This window comes from Homo sapiens, chromosome 14, assembly GCF_000001405.40.
Source record: "Homo sapiens chromosome 14, GRCh38.p14 Primary Assembly".
NCBI lineage: Eukaryota > Metazoa > Chordata > Mammalia > Primates > Hominidae > Homo > Homo sapiens.
The window spans coordinates 69685187-69707389 of record NC_000014.9 but is presented as its reverse complement, the minus strand read 5'-3'; the positions used below and the strand labels follow the sequence as shown (position 1 = coordinate 69707389).

The following is a 22203-nucleotide window of genomic DNA, read 5'->3' as shown; positions in this document are numbered from 1 at the left end:
TCATACGTGTGAGGCTTATTCATGCGGATATCTTTTTTGGGGATCACTTTTGTTATACACATAAACATGCCTTTTTTTTCCCTGAACCATCTAAAAGTAAGGTGAAGATGTTATTTAACATATACTTCCTAAGAGTATCCTTTCTGATACAACTACATCATCAGATCCCAGAAATTTAACATTGGTGTAATACAATAACACAAATTTTCCTAACTATCCAAAAATATATCTACTTCAGCTGCAGTCTTCTTTGTTTTCATCCAGGACCCAATTAAGTATCATGTATTGCATTTAATTGTCCTGTGTCTTTCATCTCATTTAATCTGTTAAACAGTCCACTATAGTTTTTCTTTCATGACATTGGCTTTTTTTTTTTTTTAAAGAGTCCAGGCCAGCTGTCTCAAAGAATGTCCCACAATCTGGACTTGTCTAATAGTTTCCTCAGCATTGGATTCAGGCCAATCCTAGGTGATGCTGTGTCCTTTCAGCTCATCAATTCAAGAAATATAGATGGTCTGCTGCTAGACCATATTATTGTTGCTAGATTGTTGTTAGTAGTTCTCAATTTCCTCACCTGCTCTTGGCAGTAAAATCTGTGCTACATACACTCTGAGAGGAGAGAAGTGGCAGAGGTTTTTGGAAGGAAGGGAAAGTTTGATGGGAGCACTTTAGGAGGCTGAGGTGGGCAGACTGCTTGAGACCAGGATTCAAGACCAGCCTGGCAATGTGGCGAAACCCATATCTATAAAAAATACAAAAAAATTAGCTGGGTATGGTGGCACATGCCTGTGGTTGCAGCTACTAGGGAGGCTGAGGTGGGAGGATCACCTGAGCCCAGGGAAGTCATGGCTGCAGTAGGCTGTGATCACGCCACTGCACTCCAGCCTGGGCAACATGAGTGAGACCCTGTCTCAGAAAAAGAAAAAAAAGAAAGCAGTGTGTAAACTGGCATGTGCTTGACTTTTGTTACTCAAAATAGTGTTTGGCTTAAAAAGTAATATATGTACACAGCACAAAATTTAAATGGGGTCTACAATGAAAACCAAATCTCCCCTCTACTCAAATCAAGCAAAACTAGCCAGTTACTTTTAACAAACTTACAAGTTAACTATAGGGGGGAAAACTCCCTCATTTAGATGAGATGCAGAACTGATCAGTTTGACTTTAGGTGGAAATAGCTGATCATTTCAAGTAAACAATCCCCTTCAAATCCTCTTCATCCTATTAATTAATAGCCTTTAAAAATAACTGCTAGCCTCTTCCCAAAAACAAAATAAAAGAAAGAAAATCACACATAGTACACAGAGATTAAATCTAGCCTGGTCCTTGTCTGTAAATCCAAATTTGGAACATTTTACTGAATGCAGTTTACTTTGGCCCTTTATGTTTGTGAGTTATAACAGTGACTGATGAAGGACTGTGAAGATATATAAAAAATGTTACTCCTCAAGAGGGAATGAGGAACTGCCAGGAAGGGCCAAGTAACTGCAGAAGCCACAATGGCCTGGAAGAAAAGTCCATCATCGGGAATCCACTCAGGGCCAGCACCATCAGCTCTGCCCTTCATGCTCCTCGCCCCTAGACAACTTGTGGCTAAAGCAGTAGACTGGAAAAGGAAACTGATAAAGGCAGGCAAGAAAATCCACTTCCTTTGTTTCTCCTTAGTGTGGTGCAGTGGTTCTAAATCCTAGTTGCACAGAAAAACTGAGCTTTTTATAAAAAGTGAATGCCAGGGTTCCATTCCAAACCAAATAAATCAGAATGGGAATGGAGGCCCAAGTGTTGATATTTGTTTTTAAACTCCCCCAGGTGCCTCTATATTGCAGCCGGGACTGGGAACCAGGAGTGCAGGATAGTGGCTCACAAACTTAAGTGTTCATCAAAATCACCTGGACAGCTTGTTAAACAATATCACTGGGCCTCACCCCTAGAGCTTCTCATTTGGTTGATCCTAACAAGTTCCATGATCCTGACGCTGCTGGAACCACGCTTTGAGAACGACTGGTGTAGGGGAAATGACATGGCTTTGGAATTGAACAGATTTCCGTTTTTTTTTGTTTTTTTTTTTTAATGGGACAGAGTCTTACTCTGTCTCCCAGACTGGAGCGCAGTGGTGTGATCTCGGCTCACTGCAACCTCTGCCTCGTGGGTTCAAGTGATTCTCCTGCCTCAGCCTCCAGAGTAGCTGGGACTACAGGCGCGCGCCACCACACCCGGCTAATTGTTTTGTATTTTTAGTAGAGACAGGGTTTCACCATGTTGGTCAAGCTGGTCTCAAACTCCTGACCTCAGGCAATCCGCCCACCTCAGCCTCCCTAAGTGCTGAGATTACAGGCATGAGCCACCGCGCGCAGCCTCAGTTCTGAGCTCTGTTGTCATCTAGAGGTATAACCCTGAGTGAATAACCTCTCTGAGCCTCAATTTCCTCATCTGCAATGTTCCTATGAGGATTAAGATAATGTATGCAAAGCAATAAGCACAATGGTAGGCACATCTAGGAGTTTGACACATGGCAGGGCCCTCCCCACTCCCTGGACACACACAGACCCACAGAGATTGGGGCCACCAGCAACCCTCCACCAAAGACTGGCCCCCACAGTAATGCTTGCACCTGCCTGTCTCATGTCAGCTCTGCCACTGGACTCACCTGCTATGATGGAAAGACTTCAGCTTTGGCTGCAGCAGCACAAACAGCACCACGAGGAGGAGAATGAGCGCCACGGAGCTGGCAGTAGAAGCCACTATAGACAGCGTGGGGACCCCAAGTGATGTGTGGGTGTCTTTATCTATAAAAACAAGCCATCATCAGAAGGGTTTTGTACCCAAATACACAAAACAGCTGATGGGCCCCACAGCTGATCTTGTCAAATGCCTCCTGAATGGTGCAATACAGACATCCTACGGTCAGGGTCATTTCAGGAATAACAGCTTAGAATGACCTATGTATACACAGTTCTTTTGGAAAAGGACCATTTCCCTATCCTGTTTCCTGAATAAAAAATTCCCCTCACTTCCAATCTTTGAGGTCCATCTGACACATAAACTCACTTAACCCTAGAGATTTTACCTTTATAAACCACTTTGATCCCATCCTCAAAAGCTTGAAGTTTGTAAACATCGACAATTTAACTGGGCATGTCATTCCACCATCTTAAGTTCTACCTATGTTCTTCCCAAGTGGCAGGATTAATTTACAGAAACTGGACTGTAATAAAACCTTGTCTTAAGATCCACAGCTTTAATTGTAACTCTCAGGTTGGTTCCCACCCATTTCTGGGGTGTCATGGGTTAAACATGCTCTGGTCTTGAAGCCTGAGTGGGAAGCACAAAGATGGTTATATGACACACTTTCCTGCAAGCAGGTGGATTTTCCTGTCATGCAAGACAGGAGGAAGCAGTAAGGGTGGGAGGTCTTTTGTCCAGCTGGTCTGTAGCTCCATTCAAGGAAAAATGAAATGGACGATACATTAGAGAAGGTATTAGCATTGTGCTCACTGTGAGGGCAGAACATGGTCAAGGGTCACCAACACTTGGCCATGCAAACAAGAGATCCTGAACATCAAACGGGCTTTACAGAGCAGGGCAGATGGCTCAATGAAATGCAATAGGACATGCACCAGCAACCTCAAGTATCTTCCACAAAGACATGAAGACCCAAGGAAGGGAGGCTGCAGAGCATCAACTGGGGCTGGGCTGCACCACAGCAAAGAGTGCTCTGGAGGAAGCATGCTTTGCATCCTGTGAGTTAACAGAAAGCAGAACCCCAGCAGCATCCCTTTTTCATCTGCCAGACTGACCCTCGTTGAGACGGCAGCTAATCTCCATGGCTGGTTTCCACTCGCCATTCTTACACGTCAGGTATTTGTAATCGCCCTTCAACATGTAGCCTTCAGCACACAGGTATTCGATGACACTGCCTGCTGTCAGGGGGTCTCTGCAGGGCCGGGGGTGGCAGATGTAGCCACCATTCTCTGGCTCCGGTGGTAGGGGGCACACTGCAAAGACAGGGAGAGAGCAGGGGTACAGTGGTGAGGTATCCAGTAGGAGTCTGCTCTCAGTGACGCAGCTCTGAAGGCCTCTACAGGAAACACAGGAGGAGGAAATAACCCTTTCCTTGGAGGAACTGTTAACCAAACCCTGGAAACTCAGGTTGCCACTGACAGAGGGGAAGTATACTGGCAACAGGGGAAGTGGCTGCTTGCAACATTTCCCCCTCCCTCCCCACCATGCCTTAAGAGAATTCCATCCATAAATGAACGGCAGACTCTAAAGTCTTGAACCTATAGAGATCTAGACATAATAGTTTTAATAAAGCCTGTATTATGTAATAAAGCCTGTAACACACATAATAAATCACAGTGAAAGGAGGAAAAATGTTGGCCTTGTTTCCACTATCAATGTCAGAAAAGACTCTATTGTATAATAAAAACGTGCACTCTTGGCCTGAGAGGGGATTTCTGATAGATTCCCTGGGAGGCTTCCCAAACCCCCTGTGCATCTTCCATTCTCTGACTATAGTAGTCAATGGCACCACCTGTCTCTATCCCATGATAAATTCCACATTTTCCACTGATATACAGGACTGCCTAGTTTCAAAAGCACCTTCACCTCCCGCCTTATTTGTCCTGACAACTCTGTGAGACAGCTATCGTTACTCTCCTTTGAAGAAGAAGACACTGAGGGCCACAAAAGTTAAGTGACTTTTAGCCAAGCTTACAGCAAGGTAAATGGCAGGCTTGGGGTCACAGTCAAATCTTCTGATTCTAAACCTCTGCTCTTTCCACCAGCAGACATTGCTTCTACCCCATGAGCTGCATGGCCTTTAAGGGGTATGGGTGTCAAGGTTACCTCCCCTTTGCCCTCTTGAAACTGGTCAGTTAGGGAGATGGCAGGCAGTGCCTAGGTATGGTGGGAACCCTGGTAAGTTGCAGTAATGGTAAGTCAGAGGATCTGGAAGGTCTGAGTGGACCTGAGGAGGAAAAGGACAACCTCTGATTCCACTCTGGACTGACACTGCAAAACTGAAGACCCCAGGTGGTGGACTGCCGGGTATTACCAGCCAAAACAGTAAAAGTGGGGGCACTACAGAATCACTGTTTGGAATGTTGGGCTGAGGTAGAATGGCCAGGCAACCATGAATGCAATAAAGACCAAAAGTTTTCCAAAGGAAATTCAATTTTGCTGACAAATAACCTGCCCCCATCCTGAATATCACAAGGACATCTGTATGAGAATAAGAACGGTCGTTTTCTTTTTCTCATTTCCTCTGACAGGCCTGGAGTGACTGAGAGTCACACCACAGTGCCTGACTGTCCAAGATAAGGCAGTTTCTCATCCACGAGAGGGGCAGACCACACCACCCTGCAGCTGTGCCCTCACAGCCTCTCTCACCCATGCCTCTTCTTTCCAATCTACAAATGGCTGTTAAGCAAGCTGACTGCCAGCCAGGTTGGGGAGTGGACACCAAATGGAAAAGAGATGATGGCTCCCTACCCTCAATTTGCTTATCACTTGAGATGGGGAGAAAAGGCACTTTTTCTTTTCTTTTTTTAGGTGATGCCACTAAAAAAAAGATGCCATTTTTAAAAAGCTATTAACAAAACAAAGCTGGGTAGGTGCCACAGGGATCCAGAGAAGTCTGGCAGCTTCTCTGAAACTAGGAGATGAGCTCCAGTAAGCTCCCCCCAAGTCCCCTCTAAGGACCCAACTTGTCCCTATTCTCCTCCACCACCAGAGTCTTGAACAGGAGAAAGAAAAACGCAAACACTCCTTCTGGTGCTCTTTAACTTTGGCCAAGTAGTTCAGAGCGCTGGCCAGCTAGATTTCCAAAGAAACCTCCGCAAACTGCTTTAGCCTTTACACTTTCCCTCTTTTGTTCAGGGCAGCAGGCCTGCCACAGATCTCCCTGACTTACTCCCTGGCTCTCCTTGGACTGTGTCTAATTGGTTCATTTCCGTGGCATAATTAATGCTGAGCACCCCATGGCAGCTCCTGAAAGCAGGCAGGACCCACACACAAGTCCAATGTGCTGGGAAGGACAGTCTCAGGGGAAGAGCTGCTGATTCTAAAGCCACTCCTGCTTTGCTGGGTATCTCTTTCCATAAAACCCACATCTCCACAGAATCTTTGAGCGGGATCCTGGCGGTCACCTAGCACTCATAATAAGTCAAAAAAAAAAAAAAGTGAGGACTGCAAAGAAGTGACTTGTAATTCAGTTTAATTTCAATTCAACTAATACTTACTGATTCTGAGTAGGGGGTCACTGTGCTATGCTCTGAAAAAGGACAAAAATATAAGCACCTCAGGTCCTTCTTGCCAAATAGGGATATGACCATTAAGTGCACACATATATTTAAAAAATCATTCTCTTTATGGCTTCTGGATTAAGGACTCTTTCTCTACTCTGAGTTTATAAACATACTCTCCAGTATTTTCTTGTAATGCTTTAGGGATTAGGTTTTTGTTATCTAAAATACTTTTACAAAACAAAACAAAACAAAAAAAACAGACTCATGGGAAATATACAAGGTATTAAATTCAAAAAGGGTGCACAGTGTCCCGTCACTGGGTTCCTCTTTCCAGAGTCACTGCACCAGTTTCTACCATATTCTTCCAAAGATACTCTATATACAAATTTATTCTAACACATGTCAAATAATGTGATTTGTGCCACAAGAGAGGAAGTTCAAAGCAGGAATAGGGGAGCCTAGGAAAGGATCTCCGAGGAAGTAGCACTTCAGATGGGGCTTCACTTCATCAGGAAGGGAGGTCATAGTTTGAAGTAAATGCACTGAAGTGGGAAAATGTAGGTTAACTTCTGAGAACAGCAAGCAGCCCAGTTTGGCTGGGTTGAGTAATTTTTTAAAAGTCCAAAAAAATAACATGAAGAGTGATGAAACCATCTTGTAGAGGACCTTCCTTACAAAAGGAGATATTTATAATTATAGTCAAAGAAAAGGGGGAGCCGCTGAAGGTTCTTGAGAAGGGTAGCATTATAAGAAAAGCAAATTTATAATTTGATATAAGATGGACTAGAGGTAGGAGAGACCCCTTAGATTATGTCAACATTATAGCAATCCTAGTATTGATACAGGAGCTAGAAAGAAATTATTTAGGCAGATAGTGACGGCAAAAGAGTCCTCAGCAAGGTTTCCCTTTTAAGGAAAAGCAGCCTCAAAATCATTTCTTTTCTAACAAAGAGCAGCCTGAAAAATCGAGCTGCATAGATAAGCAAGCTGGAAGCTTGCACAGGTGAATGCCAGCAGCTGTGCCAATAGAAAAGGGCCACCTGGAAGCCAGGTGTGTTCAGAGTGGAGGCTCCATGTTCCCTTTTCTTTGTCACCACGTGTACAGTAAGGACCAGGCAACATGGTGCCCACCAGGTAGAGAACCCATCTGCATAATAAAAGATTAGGGTGGGACGGCCAGCTATTTCACAACTATGCAAATGGCACACATGGTCCAACCAATCTTTCGTCCCCTATGTAAATGGTCTCCTCAAGCTCATCTATAAAACCTTCTTCATTTAACTGCAGAAGTGCAACCCATTTTCTCTGGGACCCCTCTCTGTGCAGAGAGCTCTTCTCTTTCGCCTATTAAACTTCCACTCTTAACCTCACTCTGGTGTGTCTGCATCCTAATTTTCCATGGCTGTGGGACAATGAACCTCAGATATTACCCCAGACAACAACACCGCTTCAGTATGGCAAAATAAACTCAGTACAAAAATTATTTTATGCCCATCTATGAAGGTCATAGAAAAGAAAAAAGCTGAAGTATGTCATAAGATGCTCCAGGTTCAAAGAAGAAATAAGGATGCCTAAGAAGAAAGGGTCCAAAAAAAAAAAAAAGGCAAGTCATTTTAAGACACTAAGAACATGTGAAAAGGCTGGGTACAGTGGCTCACGCCTACAATCCCAGCGCTTTGGGAGGTCAAGGTGGGCGGATCACTTGAGGTCAGGAGTTCGAGACCAGCGTGGTCAACACGGTGAATCCCCATCTCTACTACAAATACAAAAATTAGCCAGGTGTGGTGATGCACACCTCTAGACCCAGCTACTCAGGAGGCTGAGGCACAAGAATTGCTTGAACCCATGAGGCAGAGGTTGCAGTGAGCTGAGATTGCACCACTGCACTCCAGCCTGGGCGACAAAGTGAGACTCTGTTTAAAAAAAGAAAAGAAAAGAAAAGAAAAAGAACACATGAAAAAATATGATCCTCTTGACCAAGAGCAGAGTCCTGGCCAACAGCAGGTGTTGAAGAGGACCCTCTCAGTGATGCCTGGGAAGAACACTAAAAAAAGGCAAAACCCACATGGCAAAGAAATTGTTCAGTGGCTTCCAGAAGCCACAGTCTAGGCAAGAAACTGTCTTGATCTGTGCACCAGGATCATTCTCTGACAATTCCAGGTTCGCAGAAGGAAGCTCTGTACTTAACTCTGGGAAGACAATGAACTCACCTGATGTGGCAGTGCCACATAATTTTAAAAAGAAAAGGAGAAAGCCAGACAATTTTACAGGGGGAAAAAAAATCAATGAATTATCTTTAGCTTCCTCTCTGCTTTCCATTCTGTCCCACAGCCACATAGGCTTTCAGTGAGCACAGGGAGTGCACACAGTAGGCATTCAGTCAAAGTCCACCCTGGTAACAATGCAGATGAGACGCAAAATGATCTAGCTGATACTTCCACCACCTCCGTCGCCTCAGCCTGACACCCTCAGCAGAAACTAACTGCTGAGGACCCTCACCAGCCTTTCTAAAGGTTCCCTGGTTTTGTTGGTTTTGCAGGCCAACCTTTCAGAAGGAGGCAAATTAAAACAAAACAAACTTTTACAACATTCCAAAACAAGCAAAGCAAAATAAGCTCCAGGAAAGGCCCCAGGGGTCAAAGCATTCAATTTAACAAACAGAACAAATACTTGAGCTCCTTCAAAACAAGGTGTGGAAAGCAGGGAATATAAAGATCAGTGTGACATGCATGCAGCCTCAAAGGGATTAGGGTTGAGTAGGAGAAGGTTACATTTAAATTATCTATAGTGCATTTTTTGTTTGTTTGTTTGTGATGAGTCTCGCCCTGTCCCCTGTCACCCAGGCTGGAGTGCAGTGGCAATCTCAGCTCACTGCAACCTCTGCCTCATGGGTTCAAGCGATTCTCCTGCCTCAGCCTCCTGAGTAGCTGGGACTACAGGCGTGTGCCACCACACCCGGCTAACTTTTGTATTTTTAGTAGAGACAGGGTTTCACCATGTTGACCAGGCTGGTCTCGAACTCCTGACCTCAAGTGATCTGCCCGCCTCGGCCTCCCAAAGTGTTGGGATTACAGGCGTGAGCCAGCGCATCCAGCCCCTTTACTTTCCTAATCAACTTGCTATCACTTTACTCTATGGACTTCCCTAAATTATTTCTTGTGTGAGATCCAAGAATCCTCTGTTGGGGTCTGGATCTGGACCTCTTTCCGGTAACAGAACCATGCCCCCACTACAAGCCTACAACCTAGAGAAGACAGACATGGTCACAGCCAACTCTACCCTAAACCAATGAAGTAAGTGTTAAATGTGACACAAGCTGCTCAAATATGAGCTTTTCTAATAGCCTGGGGTGTCCTTCTGGCTAGGTGATCATTCATCGGCACCCAGGGAGGGTAAGAGCCTGAGGCAAAGAAGAAAAAGAGTAGAAACTAAGGAGAGGAGGAAGGAATGGATGGAAATCACAAACCTAGCACAAAGCTGTCCAACAGAAATATAACATGGCCACAGATGTAATTTAAAATGTTCTAGTAGCCAATTAGGAAGATAAATGGAAACAGGTGAAATTAATCTTAATATTTTATTTAACCCAACATATGAAAAAATATGTTGACTGATTACATCTCAACATGGAGTCAACATAAAAATTCACTAATGAGATACTTTATATTCTTTTTCTCATAGTAGTCTGTACACTTATATAAGAGGCATCTGAATGACAGCGACTCCATCTTGAATAGGGGCTGAGTAAAATGAGGCTGAGATCTACTGGGCTGCATTCCCAGGAGGTTAGGCATGGCATTCTAAATCATAGGATGAGATAGGAGGTCACAAGATACATGTCACAAAAGACCACACCAATAAAACAGGTTGGGCAGAGAAGTCGACCAAAACCCACCAAAACCAAGATGGTGACGAAAGTGACCTCCGGTGTCCTCACTGCTCATTATATGCTAATTATAATGCAGTAGCATGCTAAAAGACACTCCCCCACCATAGCCATGACAGTTCACAAATGCCACGGCTACATAGGAAGTCACCCTATATGGTCTGAAAAGGGGAGGAACCCTCAGTTCCAGGAATTCCCACCCCTTTCCTGGAAATCTAATGAATAATCCACCTCTTGTTTAGCATATAATCAAGAAATAACTATAAATACACTCAGCCGAGTAGCCCATGCCACACTGCTCTGTCTATACTGTCTATACAGCAGCCATTCTTTTATTCCTTTACTCTCTTCATAAACTTGCTTTCACTTTACTCTGTGGACTCGCCCTGAATTCTTTCTTGTGGAAGATCCAAGGACCCTCTCCTGGGGTCTGAATCTGGACCCCTTTCCGGTTACACTTATAGCACACCTCAACTCAGACTAAACACATTTCAAGTTCTCAGTCACCACATGCAGCCACCTAGTAGTGGCTATTGTAGTGGACAGCACAGTCTCAGTGAAGGAGTCCTTGGCCAGCAGTCAGGACAGGTCTGGGGATCTGAAAACAGTGGAAAAGGTTCAGAACCACACGACAGGGCATGAAATGTGAGGCTGAAGATGTGGAAAGAAGGAGGCATTTAGCACTAAGGGTCTCTTAAAGTTATTTAGAAAAGCACTATTTATGTGCTTGCTCTCAAAACCCTTTCTTATATATAAAGGTTATATTTCTACTTCTAGCCTTCAATGGTTTGTAGAAGCAAAGAGATCCAGAGAAAAAGCAAGGTCAATACAGAGAACAAAGGTGTTTAAATGTATAGTTCTGTTTGTTTTGGAATAAGGAAAACAGTAATTATTGCAAACAGATAGTTTATTACCTGTGCCAAGTACTCTTCTGGGTTCTCTCTCTACATGAAGCAGGTACTATATTTTCTCCACTTTACAGATAAGGACAATAAGGCTTAACTGAGTTGAGTGATCTGCCTCAAGCCACACATTTGTAATTGGCAGGGCTGGATTCACCAGGAACTCTGGCTTCTAAGCTGCAAGCCTGACCACTCAGTTAAGCCGGGGCCTGCTGAGGGGGGCAGGGCATCAGGAAACCTGCCAGGTTCTGTTTTGTGGCTCATTTCCCCATTTGATGTGCTCAGCCTATGGCTTTGGAGACATCCAGCTACTTCGTACAGCATATAAAAGAAAGAGTTATACCCAGTATGAACAGCCTTTTTCAAAGGGGAGGTGATTCCCCTAAAGAAAGCCTCCCAGGCAAGTTGGAATTAGAGCATTCCAGACAAATACAAAGAAGAAAAAACAAGTGATGACATCTGATATGGTCAAAAGGTTTCTTCTGAAGCCTCCTAATAACAACAGCTTGTGTTCACTGACTACAGGCCAGGCACTATCTGAGCACTTTACATATGTAACTCATTTAAGTTTCACAAAAAACCCTCTAGAAACATAACAATGCATTACACAGATGAGCCAGGGGTTGAGATACTTGCTCAATTTCACCCAGCAGGTGGGTGGCACAGTTAGGATTTGAACCCCAGAAGGCTGTATTCCCATTCCACAGCACTGGGCAGTATCAGAGGGTCTCGGAGTCAGGCTTCTCTCACACCCATAATCTGTCAAGGGAGCCACAGATGGCAGAGTCCAGTGACAAGGACAAACTGGGTACTGCCCGTAGACTCTGGGCCTCAGTTTCAATACATGAAGGCAATGAACCAGATCACCTCTGAGATCTCTTCTGACATTTGCAAATTTGTCTAAAGTTGGCGGGCCTCACTACCTCTCCAAGGTTCCTTCGCAAAAGTCCTGCAACCATTGTGGTTTTGGATACAGCACAAGGTGTGAGGGGCTAGAGATCATCCTGTCCATGCAGAAATTCCTGCATTGGGACAGATTCCTGCTGTGGACTTGTGGTGAGAGCCGGAAAACAGGCAGGAGTCCCACTACTTAAGAGATACCTGGGGCTGCTCTGGTCCATGGCTCTGCCCAGCCTTCTGGCTTCCCGATCCCGCCAAATAGTCAAGTCTAAAACAGGCTGCAGTGAGAGGGAAGTGAGATGGTTTCTCATGCCATTTGCAACCTTCCTCTCCTATGAGACAAATCTTCCTAGCAGTCAGACAGGAAGCCTATTGTCCAGTCAGGATCCCTTTTCTCATGAGAACTTCCCACTCACTGGGGGAGAGCCAGCCTGCAGTAGCTCAAGCCTTTTTCAGGGTGTGGCACCAGAGCTGGGGTGGGAGAACACAGGGAGAAACCACCCATGGCTCAGGATACCTCCTGTGGCTCTTCTCGGGCCCCCACCACTGCCTTCCTAAGAGAGGCTCAACCTAAGCCCTCCTCGGAAGATCAGCAACTGACAGGTGGGACAGGCCTCGGACCTGTCCATCTTGTTTTAGGCCTGGGCCCCTCACTTCCTCCCCCTCACAGGAGAGGGAAAATGCCAGCCAGAGGCCTCAGAGCCAACAAGCACTTTCTTTTACTGCACCCTGCCTCAAACATAAAAACTCCTGTCACCTGGAGTTTTCATGTTTGAGGCACAGCGTTCAATAAAAGAAAGTGCTTTTAGTGGCACCTAAGCCTCTAAAGTCCTTAGTCATTCAGTCAAAAGTACTGTTTCTCTCCCAGCCTAGAAACCCTGAACTGAAAGCACATGCAGTCAGCTGGAACCCCACCCATCTCCAAGGTTCCAAGGCCACCTTCCCAGGCATGGCCAGAGAGAAACAATGAGCAGCACAGGGTGGAGCTTACCAGCTTGGGCTGAGACTTCACGGCCTGGGGTTGCACACTGCTCCAACAGTTACCCACTGGGTAGTCCTGGGGAGATCTTCCTATTCCTCAGTTTCCTCATTTTTAACATGGGGATTCAAAAGGTTAATCACAACTATGCAGGTAAAGTACCTGGTAATGGGTCTGTCACATACTAAGTGTTCAATAACAGCAGCTTTATTATTCCTCCTCTGGGTTCCCATTACATCATCTTCACTCCTATTTGTAACCTATCACCATGTTGTAGTCTCTGCAGGTTTTCTCACAGGTTGGTCCTTCCTCCATTTCCCCAATAACCACCAACCCACACATCTAAGCCATAGGGCAGAGACTTGTTCTGCTCATTTTTGTATCCCTAGTACCTGACAAATAATCCAGGAGATAGTAGATGCTTAGTAGAAAACCAACGTGACTTGCAAAATTTTGTCCTTATTTCAAAACACTGTCTTGTTTTCAACTGCAATGAGCCACAATGATTTTTGATTTGAGATGAGTCAATAACAGACAACGGCAAAGAGCATCCCTCTCCAGGGTACAATTTGTATTCTCCAAATTGGTACCTAACTGTGAAAATACACTGCCTACCTAACAGGACCAGAGCCACATGGAGTAAGAGCATAGTCTTGGGGGTCAGACAGATGAATCTGGGTTTGACCCAGGGGCCTGCTCTGCAGCCTTGTCAACTGTCATAACTCCTCTGAGCCTTAGTCCTTAGCAGCCAATATCCAGCTCCACAGGTTTTTTTAGAAGACTAACAAAACTGCATACTTGAAAGGGTCTTGTATCATGCCTGGCACATTACTAGGCACTGATAAATTTTCATGTAGCAAACTAAACCCTTATCTCTGATTTTTGGAATGGGCAAAGGCTTTGGTAAAAAGAAAAAGGATTATTTCAGAAATTTCTGGATATTTGGAGAGGGGGCAGGCAGAAAACAGAGCAGGATAAGCACTTTGGGGGGTGTTGTTTGCTCTCTCCTTGTTCCAGTTCAGTAATAAGCCGGCTCCTTTTTCACTTCCCGTTCTCGACAATACAGCCCAGGCTGCTCTTGGCTGACAAATGGACTCCATATGGCCTGTTACCCTTTCACCTCCTCTTGTTCTTGCAGCTCAGGGACCCAGGGAAACAGGCTGCCAGCTGGGGCTGGGAACCCCTCCCCCTCCCACTGTTACCACTGCTACAAGGAGGGGCAGGCCAGAGGACCATTCTCCTTTATCCTGCTGCTCCAGGTACAGGGCTAGCCCACTCAGTGCCCAAAGCCACTACCACTGCTATAGGTCAGTACAGTGACCTATAGAGCAGAGCCCACAGCTGTCTCCTACCTCCACCTCCAGATGGTGGGATGACAATGGAGGTAGGGAGCCAGGCTATTCCACGTGTATTAGCAAGTGTTACTGTTTCCCTTGACAGTGGCAGTTAAAGGCTTAAGAAAAAGCAGAGAATGCTTATTTTTTCCTCATCAGCCATTGTCACTTCTTGTTCTCATCTCCTTCACCATATCACCTACCTGAGCTAAAATATGTGTTTGCTCTCCCCTCTCAGAATTCCTCATCTCCCAGAGGAGATGACTGGTCCTCTCAGGAAAGGCCCAGATGGCTGTTTACGGCAGCTCAGAAGGAAAGCTGATGAGCAGGTGATAACTGACTTAGGAGTCTGGCTTAGAGTTTAAAACAGGGTTGGACTCTTGGGTACAAAGGCCAAAATTGTGGTTTCATTTCCAATCCTACCAGCTAATGGTAACTCCTAATGCCAAGTACAGTCCCAGGCATACACAGCAGGGCCTCAAGAAACACACAATCAAATTTAAAACAAATTTAATGATCTCTGTTGCCAAAAGGATACAAGTAAGGAAGAGAATTAACATTTATCACCAGGCACTGCACTGGTACTTTAAAAGTGTTATCCTATTAAATTCTTCCACCCTAGGAAGAAGGTGGTATAAAACTTGATTTGTTCAGAAAAAACTGAGGCTCTGAAAAATTTAGTAATGGACTGAGGTCACCTGGATTCTAAGTACTAGAGTCTGCATTCAAATTCTGGCTGGCCCTTCTACAAGGAAGCTTCTTGATTTTTTCTGATGCCACCAGAAAAAAATTTACCCCAAGACCTACAAAGTATAACATAGGGGTGGGATACATATGGACAAAAGCTGCTATAATTCCTGTTTGGAGAAGAATATGGCCTGGTGAGTTTAGTTGTGCCCAGAGGACTCAGTTCATATCTCAGGTGGGGCCACATTTTTCCAGAGAAGTGGAGGGAAAAGGCAGGACAGTTTCCTTCACTAATTTCTGTGTACTACACACAATGGAGCTATTTAAGGATCACAGACAGCAAAGTTGCAAGTGGGAGAAGATATGTAGGCATTTTCAGCTGAGAACACATGACTTCTTTTTTTTTTTTTTTTTTGAGACGGAGTCTCACTCTGTCACCCAAGCTGGAGTGCAGTGGCATGATCTCAGCTCACTGCAACCTCCGCCTCCCGGGTTCAAGCAATTCTCCTGCCTCAGCCTCCTGAGTAGCTGGGACTACAGGTGTGTGCCACCACACCGGGCTAATTTTTGTATTTTCGGTAGAGACAGGTTTCACCATGTTGGCTAGGCTGGTCTTGAACACCTGACCTCAGGTAATCCACCCGCCTCAGCCTCCCAAAGTACTGGGATTACAGGCGTGAGCCACCAAGCCTGGCTGAGAACACAAGACTTCTAAGACGGATATGTGAAAGGAAGGTTGTCACTAAATGCAGAATGGGGATGTGACCTGGAATTAGAGGGCTACCTTTCTGCCACTGCCCAGAACACACAGGGCCACTGGGTTATCACTGCCAAAGCCTGAAATAAACAGCCTCTGCCACATACTCCCAAACAGGGGGTCAGGTAGTGTGCTGATTCTCTTAGGCACTCAACAGGCCACTGCTACTCACAAAGGCCTAGACAACCGCAAAGAAAGAAAGGAAACACCAGTAAACTCTAGTTATGGATGGTAACAGAAATCCACTGAGGCAATGGCCCCAAATCAGCAAAACACCATAGGTCTTTGAGAAACACCAGCAGTTGAGGGGTGGAGGTCTGAATGGGTTTTTTGTCGCTGTTGTTTTGAGATAGAGTTTTGCTCTGTTGCCCAGGCTGGTGTCTAGTGGCACGATCTTGTCTTGGCTCACTGCAACCTCTGCCTTCTCCCAGGTTGAAGCAATTCTCATGCCTCAGCCTCTTGTGTAGCTGGGATTACAGGTGCACACCACCAAGTCCGGCTAATTTTTTGTATTTTTAGTAAGGACAGGGTTTCGCCATGTTGCCTGGGCTGGTCTTGAACTCCTGACCTCAGGTGATGCACCTGCTTCAACCTCCCAAAGTGCTAGGTAGGATTACAGATGTGAGCCACTGCACCCAGCCCTGAATGGTCTTTTCTGAAGAAAGAGATGTGACTGGGTCTAAGGCATACCATGAAGTGAGCCCTGTACATTCTGGGGGGTGGGGTCCCACCATGAGACAGGGACTACAAATACAAAAGAGACAATAAAAGGTGTGTGGTTTTTTGGTGCGGGGGGAGAAGGCTGGACGAAGCCACAAGTCTCATCTCTATTGCCTCTAAACCAACAAGCCTAAGGAACTCTGTACTCACTGTGCACAGGCAGGTGGAGCGGAAGTTACCAAGTCCATTGACCTGGATATTCTTCCTCCTTCATCTTGTGCGGGATGAGATTCTCTGTTTTGAACAATCTTAAATCACAAAATTTTAAACCACCTTCTCCCAAATGACCACCACGGGAAAAGCAGTTTGCCATGCCTTCTTGGTTTCCTTTGCACTTCTCCAGAGGGGAACTTTCACCAACTGATTCTGGACAGTGAGGAGTCAAATCCCCCTAGGAGTTCTCTTCTTCACTACTTTGAACTTTTGCATCTTGCTCAGCATACCGTGCTCCTGGAAGATCCCTCTGCTCCTCTTACAAGCTTTCTCTTTGAATCCTTCCCACATGCTTTTCTCTGAGGAAGCCACATTTAAGCCTCTTTAAGGATCTTTAAAAACAACAGGAATGCATTCAAGCCTGCTGCAAAGTCCAAAGAAGGATGGATGCCTGGCCCTGAAGGTCTAGGACTGGCCTTTGATGTTAGCCTGTGTACATATTGGTCTGGCTCTAGTAAAACAAAACAACCTCAAAATAGTGAAACTTGGGCCTAAACTAGCTAACAGTCAGGAGTAGAGTCTCAACCATGCTTATTTATCAGGGTGAGGACCATGCCCCTGTCACCTGTCATGGCCTCTTTGGCTCTTTGGACCCTAGTCTCTCGCAAGCCACTTTTGACTGACCAGTCTGAGATGCCCAGTCAGAAGACAATGCCTCGGACAGCCTCACACACACTGCATGTTGGTAGATAACTATGTCTAAATGCCACATTGATGTACAGAAAATACCTTTAATCTCTTGTCCTCCAGACAGCAGGTTTAATAACTAATAACTTTCACTCAAAAGAGAGTAAAAAAACACGGGCATGGTGTCTTAGGCCTGTAATCCCAGCACTTTGGGAGACCAAGACAGGCGGATCACTTGAGGCCAGGAGATCGAGATCAGCCTGGCCAACATGGTAAAACCTTGTATCCACCAAAAATACAAAAATTAGCCAGGCAACGTGGCACACACCTGTAATTCCAGCTACTCGGGAGGGCTTGTCATGAGAATTGCTTGAAGCCAGGAGGTGGAGGCTTCAGTAAGTGGACATCATGCCACTGCACTCCAGCCTGGTGAGAGCGAGACTCCATCTCAAAAAATTAAACAAATTTTTAAAAGTATTTACAAGTGTTGATTCTTATTCTCTCCAGGTTTCACTTTCCTAACAAATTCCTTCATTAATTTAACAAATTTCTATTAAGCACTATGTGTTAGGCTGCTGCTAGAAATTCAAGGGCAAATAATACACATGGTGTGCCCTTGAGGAGACTTCAGTCTCTTTGGGAATACAGATAAGGAGCCCCAACAAGATTAAAATAATAGTAATATCTACTGCTTCTCTTCCAGAATCCATGTAAGGATTATATTTACCCATTCATTCTTTTTTTCTCTTCCCTCAGCTTAATTCTGCCATTCATTTTTTCAACAAGTTTTTACTAAGTACCAAAAGCACTGTGGCAGGTGAAGGTAGGCAGGTGGAAAGATAAAAAGATATTGGTCCTACACTCTAGGAGCTTTCTAATAAACGACTATAATAGATATATGTTAGAAATCAATATGGGCTACAGAAAGTTCTGAAGAAGGATTAATCCAATGGGGAAGAGACCAAAGAAGATTGTAGAAATGGTATCAGAGCTCCAACTTCACGGGAAGTAGGATCATGAGTACGGGATAAAGGATTATGACGGGGATAAAGGAGAGTGGGAAGAACATGGTGGGGGACATAAAGGCACAAACAAAGGCAGAGAATCAAGAAGAGGTGGTATGTGTACGGAGAAGTTAGCAAATGTTTCCAGGTTTAGCAGGAGATAACTGAACATTTAGAAAATCAGGCTGGTGCCAGAAGAGGGTAGGCCCTGAATGCAAGGCTAAAGAATGTGGAATCTTGGGTTCCTCTTCCATGAGATGAGATTTTAAGGACACTTCTAGGCCTATAATGCAAAGCCATGTTATTCATAATAAAATGAAAGCCTGCTAAATAGTACCAATCCCACTGAAGAAGCTGCCCATATAAGTCTGCCTACATCCCCTGGAAACTATTTTCCAATGGGCTGGATGTGCTGACAGGGTGGAGTGGGGAAAGGGGAAGAAAACGGAAAATCCATTGCGAGTTTTCCAGTGCAGATTCATCATGCTTCTCAAGTTTGCCTAGGTGAGAGGGGACAGGAAAGAACTAAAGGGGCTGGAGCACACAGAAAAGGAATACAAAGATATCTTGTGGTCAGTTTCTTTTCCAGGGTTCTCTCACATGGCAGCAGATGGCCTATCCCTGGAGGACTGGATCCAGAAAGCAGCTGCTCCCAGGTCCTGGTTCTAACAGCTGGGGTCACAGGTCCTCTATGCACAAGCTGAATGCCAGAAATCAATGGGTCCCATTGTGCCTGCATGCATGCATGAGCTCTCACGTCCAGGCTCATGCTCTATAACTGCCTAGAACAGAGGACTGGGAAAAATAACACTACACACTTTGAAGGACTACATTTGCAAACTAATGGAAAGATAAGAGTATTATACAATCCAATTTTATTCAAATTACCTTGACTTTGCTAGGTAGCTACTAAGATGCTAATTATTTGGGAGATAGAGGGTCAAGAGGGAGGTGGAAGAGGAACAGAAGTAGGGCAGATCATAATCAGAAGCTAATCAGTAAATACATCTAGTCTTCTTCTTTCTGCCCAATGCAGAGAGGAGTCTGGCTCTACCACAACAACCAAAAAGCAGGCTAGATGTTTCATGTATTAGAAAAGGGCATACAAATTCATAAAACAATGTGTGTGTACACAGAAGAGTATAACTGTATAATTACATAATTAGGCACATTATAAAGTATTTATACTGCTGAGACTAAAAGCCCCTACTCAAAGGCATTCCACCAAAGTTGAAAAGGGAAAAAAAAGAAAAAAAACAAAAAGAAAAAAAAGCATCTAATTGCAATCTTCCACAAAGCCAGACATCCCCAGCTGGTGCCACAGCTGAATTCTCTTAATTAACAGTTGTAACGGCAAGTACGAAAGACACTGTATGCTTATCAACTCCATGTCGTGGCCAGCCAGGCATGGGAGAAGCCCACAATACTGCTATAATTAGAGAGATTTTTCTCTATTATAATAGTACCCCAGTGTGGAATGTTGGTTAGTTTTTCTTAAAAACTTTGTCGTTTAAAGCACATACATAACAACTCTACCTACCCACAGTTACGGATTGAAACTAGAGAGTTTGAGAAAGTTCACAGTCTAAGAGCTGGTTTATTTTTTGGTGGTTTTCTCTTAACTCCCCAAACCTGGGGTTTTATGTTATAGAAGGCTAGCAATGTTTGAGCAGGCCAGTCTTTTAAATAAAAGCCCATCTGACAGCTTAAAATCATAAGCTAGGCCGGGCACAGTGGCTCACGCCTGTAATCCCAGCACTTTGGGAGGCCGAGGCAGGCAGATCACCTGAGGTCAGGAGTTCGAGAACAGCCTGGCCAACACGGCGAAACCCCGTCTCTACTAGAAATACAAAAATTAGGCCAGGTGCAGTGGCTCACACCTGTAATCCCAGCACTTCGGGAGACCAAGGCAGGCAGATTACCTGAAGTCAGGAGTTCGAGACCAGCCTGACCAATATGGTAAAACCCTGTCTCTACTAAAAATACAAAAATTAGCCAGGTGTGGTGGCGGGTGCCTGTAATCCCAGCTACTCGGGAGGCTGAGGCAGGAGACTCGCCTGAACCCAGGAGGCGGAGGTTGCAGTAAGACAAGTTCGCACCACTGCACTCCGGCCTGGGCAACAAAGCAAGACTCTGACTCAAAATAAAATAAAACAAAATCATAGGCTAAATGTATCTAAATAGAATAAAGATGGCAGAAATTAGCATATAAATGAGTACAACATGTGGGGAAAAGCATTAATTAATACATGAAGAGACTAGGTCAATGATATGGTTTGACTCTGTGTCCCCACCCAAATCACATCTTGTAGCTCCCATAATTCCCACATGTTGTGGGAGGAACCTGGTGGGAGATGACTGGAATCATGGGCGCAGGTCTTTCCCATGCTGTTCTCATGATAGTGAATGGGTCTCACAAGATTTGACGGTTTTAAAAAACGAGAATTTCTCTGCATAAGCTCTCTTTTTGCCTGCTGTCATCCATGTAACATGTAACTTGCTTTTCCTTGCCTTCCACCATGATTGGGAGGCTTTCTTGGCCACCTGGAAATGTAAGTCCAATTAAATCTCTTTCTTTTGTAAATTGCTCAGTCTCGGGTATGTCTTTATCAGCAGCGTGAAAACAGACTAATACAGTCAAAATATAATGTATACTCACGGCTCTAGAAGGGCCTTTCACACTTACAAAAAGGGCTTTGTTTTTGCACGACTCTTACACCAGAACCTGTTGCAGGTAGTCCCCCTACTTCCCTAGCAAGGACCCTCATAGTCAAACAATAGGTTTACATATTATAAGAAAGTCAACTCAGAAAGCCAAAAAAGATCATAAAATATCTAATTATAGCCTGCCTTTTAGAGACAATCTTGGACAACATAACCTGGGCATTTTAGACATTATTCTTTGGCTATGTGTGTTTTTTTCTCTTCACAACTGAGCAGGGCTGTTGACTTAAGTCAATGAGTATTCAACTGACACTAAAGATTTCTTACTTCTGGCACATTCATTGAATTTAAAAATCTTCCAATTCTATCAACTTTAGAAGACCTACCCTTACAACTACCATTAGTCATTTCATTTTTCCATTTTCAACTCATCCTTACAAAATCAAGGTCTGATAATGCAAGTTACCGCTGCAGCACATGCGGCTGCACAGAGGGAGCTGGCGAGGCTGCTCAGAGTGTGCTGCTGACTGGCAGGCAGCCACACCTCACGACTGCTCAAGAGGTTCTTTCTCAGCTGCTGCACAAAAGTCCAAATTCATTACACAAAGGCAATCGGGGTGTCAATTTACAATTTACCAGAGTACAGGTTGTTCCCATGACAAATGTTTAAAAGCAGACTGCTTGGAGTTGCTTCAGAATCCCCACTACTTCTACCCTCTCACTCCCCCACCACGGGTTTAGCAAATTTAAGATTTCTTGACCCTTTACTCTCCTGGCCCTAAAGGCCCGGAATCACTTTGGTGAACCTAGAGAAAATATATTCTTAGGTAGGTCCACATACAAATGAGGAAAGTATCGAGGCTCCAAAATCTCTGGTACTCAGCAACACACACACACCTGCATTTTACTAAGAGACCAGGACTGCCTCCAGGGTCCCAAGGTTTGCACTGAATCAAGGGAAGTCAAGCTAGTCAGCACCTGCACAAGCCTGTTACTCAGAATGACAGCTCATCCTGGGTTTCCCCGAACTCTATGCTTTGTTGATGGAAAAGACTTGTCAAATGTGCAATCAGGGCCCTGAAGAGTCTTTGCAGATGCCTCCAGCCAGACCTTGCAGTGGAATAATATTAGTAGCACAATGGTTCCTTCCTCAACGGGGAGCAAAGTGGCCTATGGGAAACAATCAATGTGCCTCATGGCTCTATGCATGTGGGTAATGTCCTTTAGGGCTAGTCCATTTGTACTTGCAGCCCTTCACTTGAAAAACCAAGTGAAATCACCC

The 22203-nt window shown here is 44.7% G+C and overlaps 1 protein-coding gene across 1 annotated transcript in view, besides 3 other annotated features; it reads right to left on the bottom strand.

The window, feature by feature from the left end:
* Nucleotides 1-22203, bottom strand: part of SUSD6 (sushi domain containing 6) — a 103549-nt gene that overhangs the window by 7755 nt on the left and 73591 nt on the right. The window contains exons 3-4 of the mRNA NM_014734.4: nucleotides 3798-3995; nucleotides 2648-2786 (exon numbers count right to left, since the gene is read on the bottom strand). Coding sequence (NP_055549.1) covers nucleotides 2648-2786; nucleotides 3798-3995 — 337 coding nt within the window. The remainder of the gene's footprint in view (nucleotides 1-2647; nucleotides 2787-3797; nucleotides 3996-22203) is intronic.
* Nucleotides 5804-6098: a silencer, noted in NCBI's record as "tiled region #930; K562 Repressive non-DNase unmatched - State 5:Enh". NCBI's record gives its function as "represses a minimal TATA promoter and a strong SV40 promoter by Sharpr-MPRA in K562 cells {active_cell/tissue: K562}" and the evidence as "EXISTENCE:reporter gene assay evidence [ECO:0000049][PMID:27701403]".
* Nucleotides 12855-12904: an enhancer, noted in NCBI's record as "active region_8646". NCBI's record gives its function as "activates an Ori minimal core promoter by ATAC-STARR-seq in GM12878 lymphoblastoid cells {active_cell/tissue: GM12878}" and the evidence as "EXISTENCE:reporter gene assay evidence [ECO:0000049][PMID:35858748]".
* Nucleotides 18784-19078: a silencer, noted in NCBI's record as "tiled region #2331; HepG2 Repressive DNase matched - State 5:Enh". NCBI's record gives its function as "represses a minimal TATA promoter and a strong SV40 promoter by Sharpr-MPRA in HepG2 cells {active_cell/tissue: HepG2}" and the evidence as "EXISTENCE:reporter gene assay evidence [ECO:0000049][PMID:27701403]".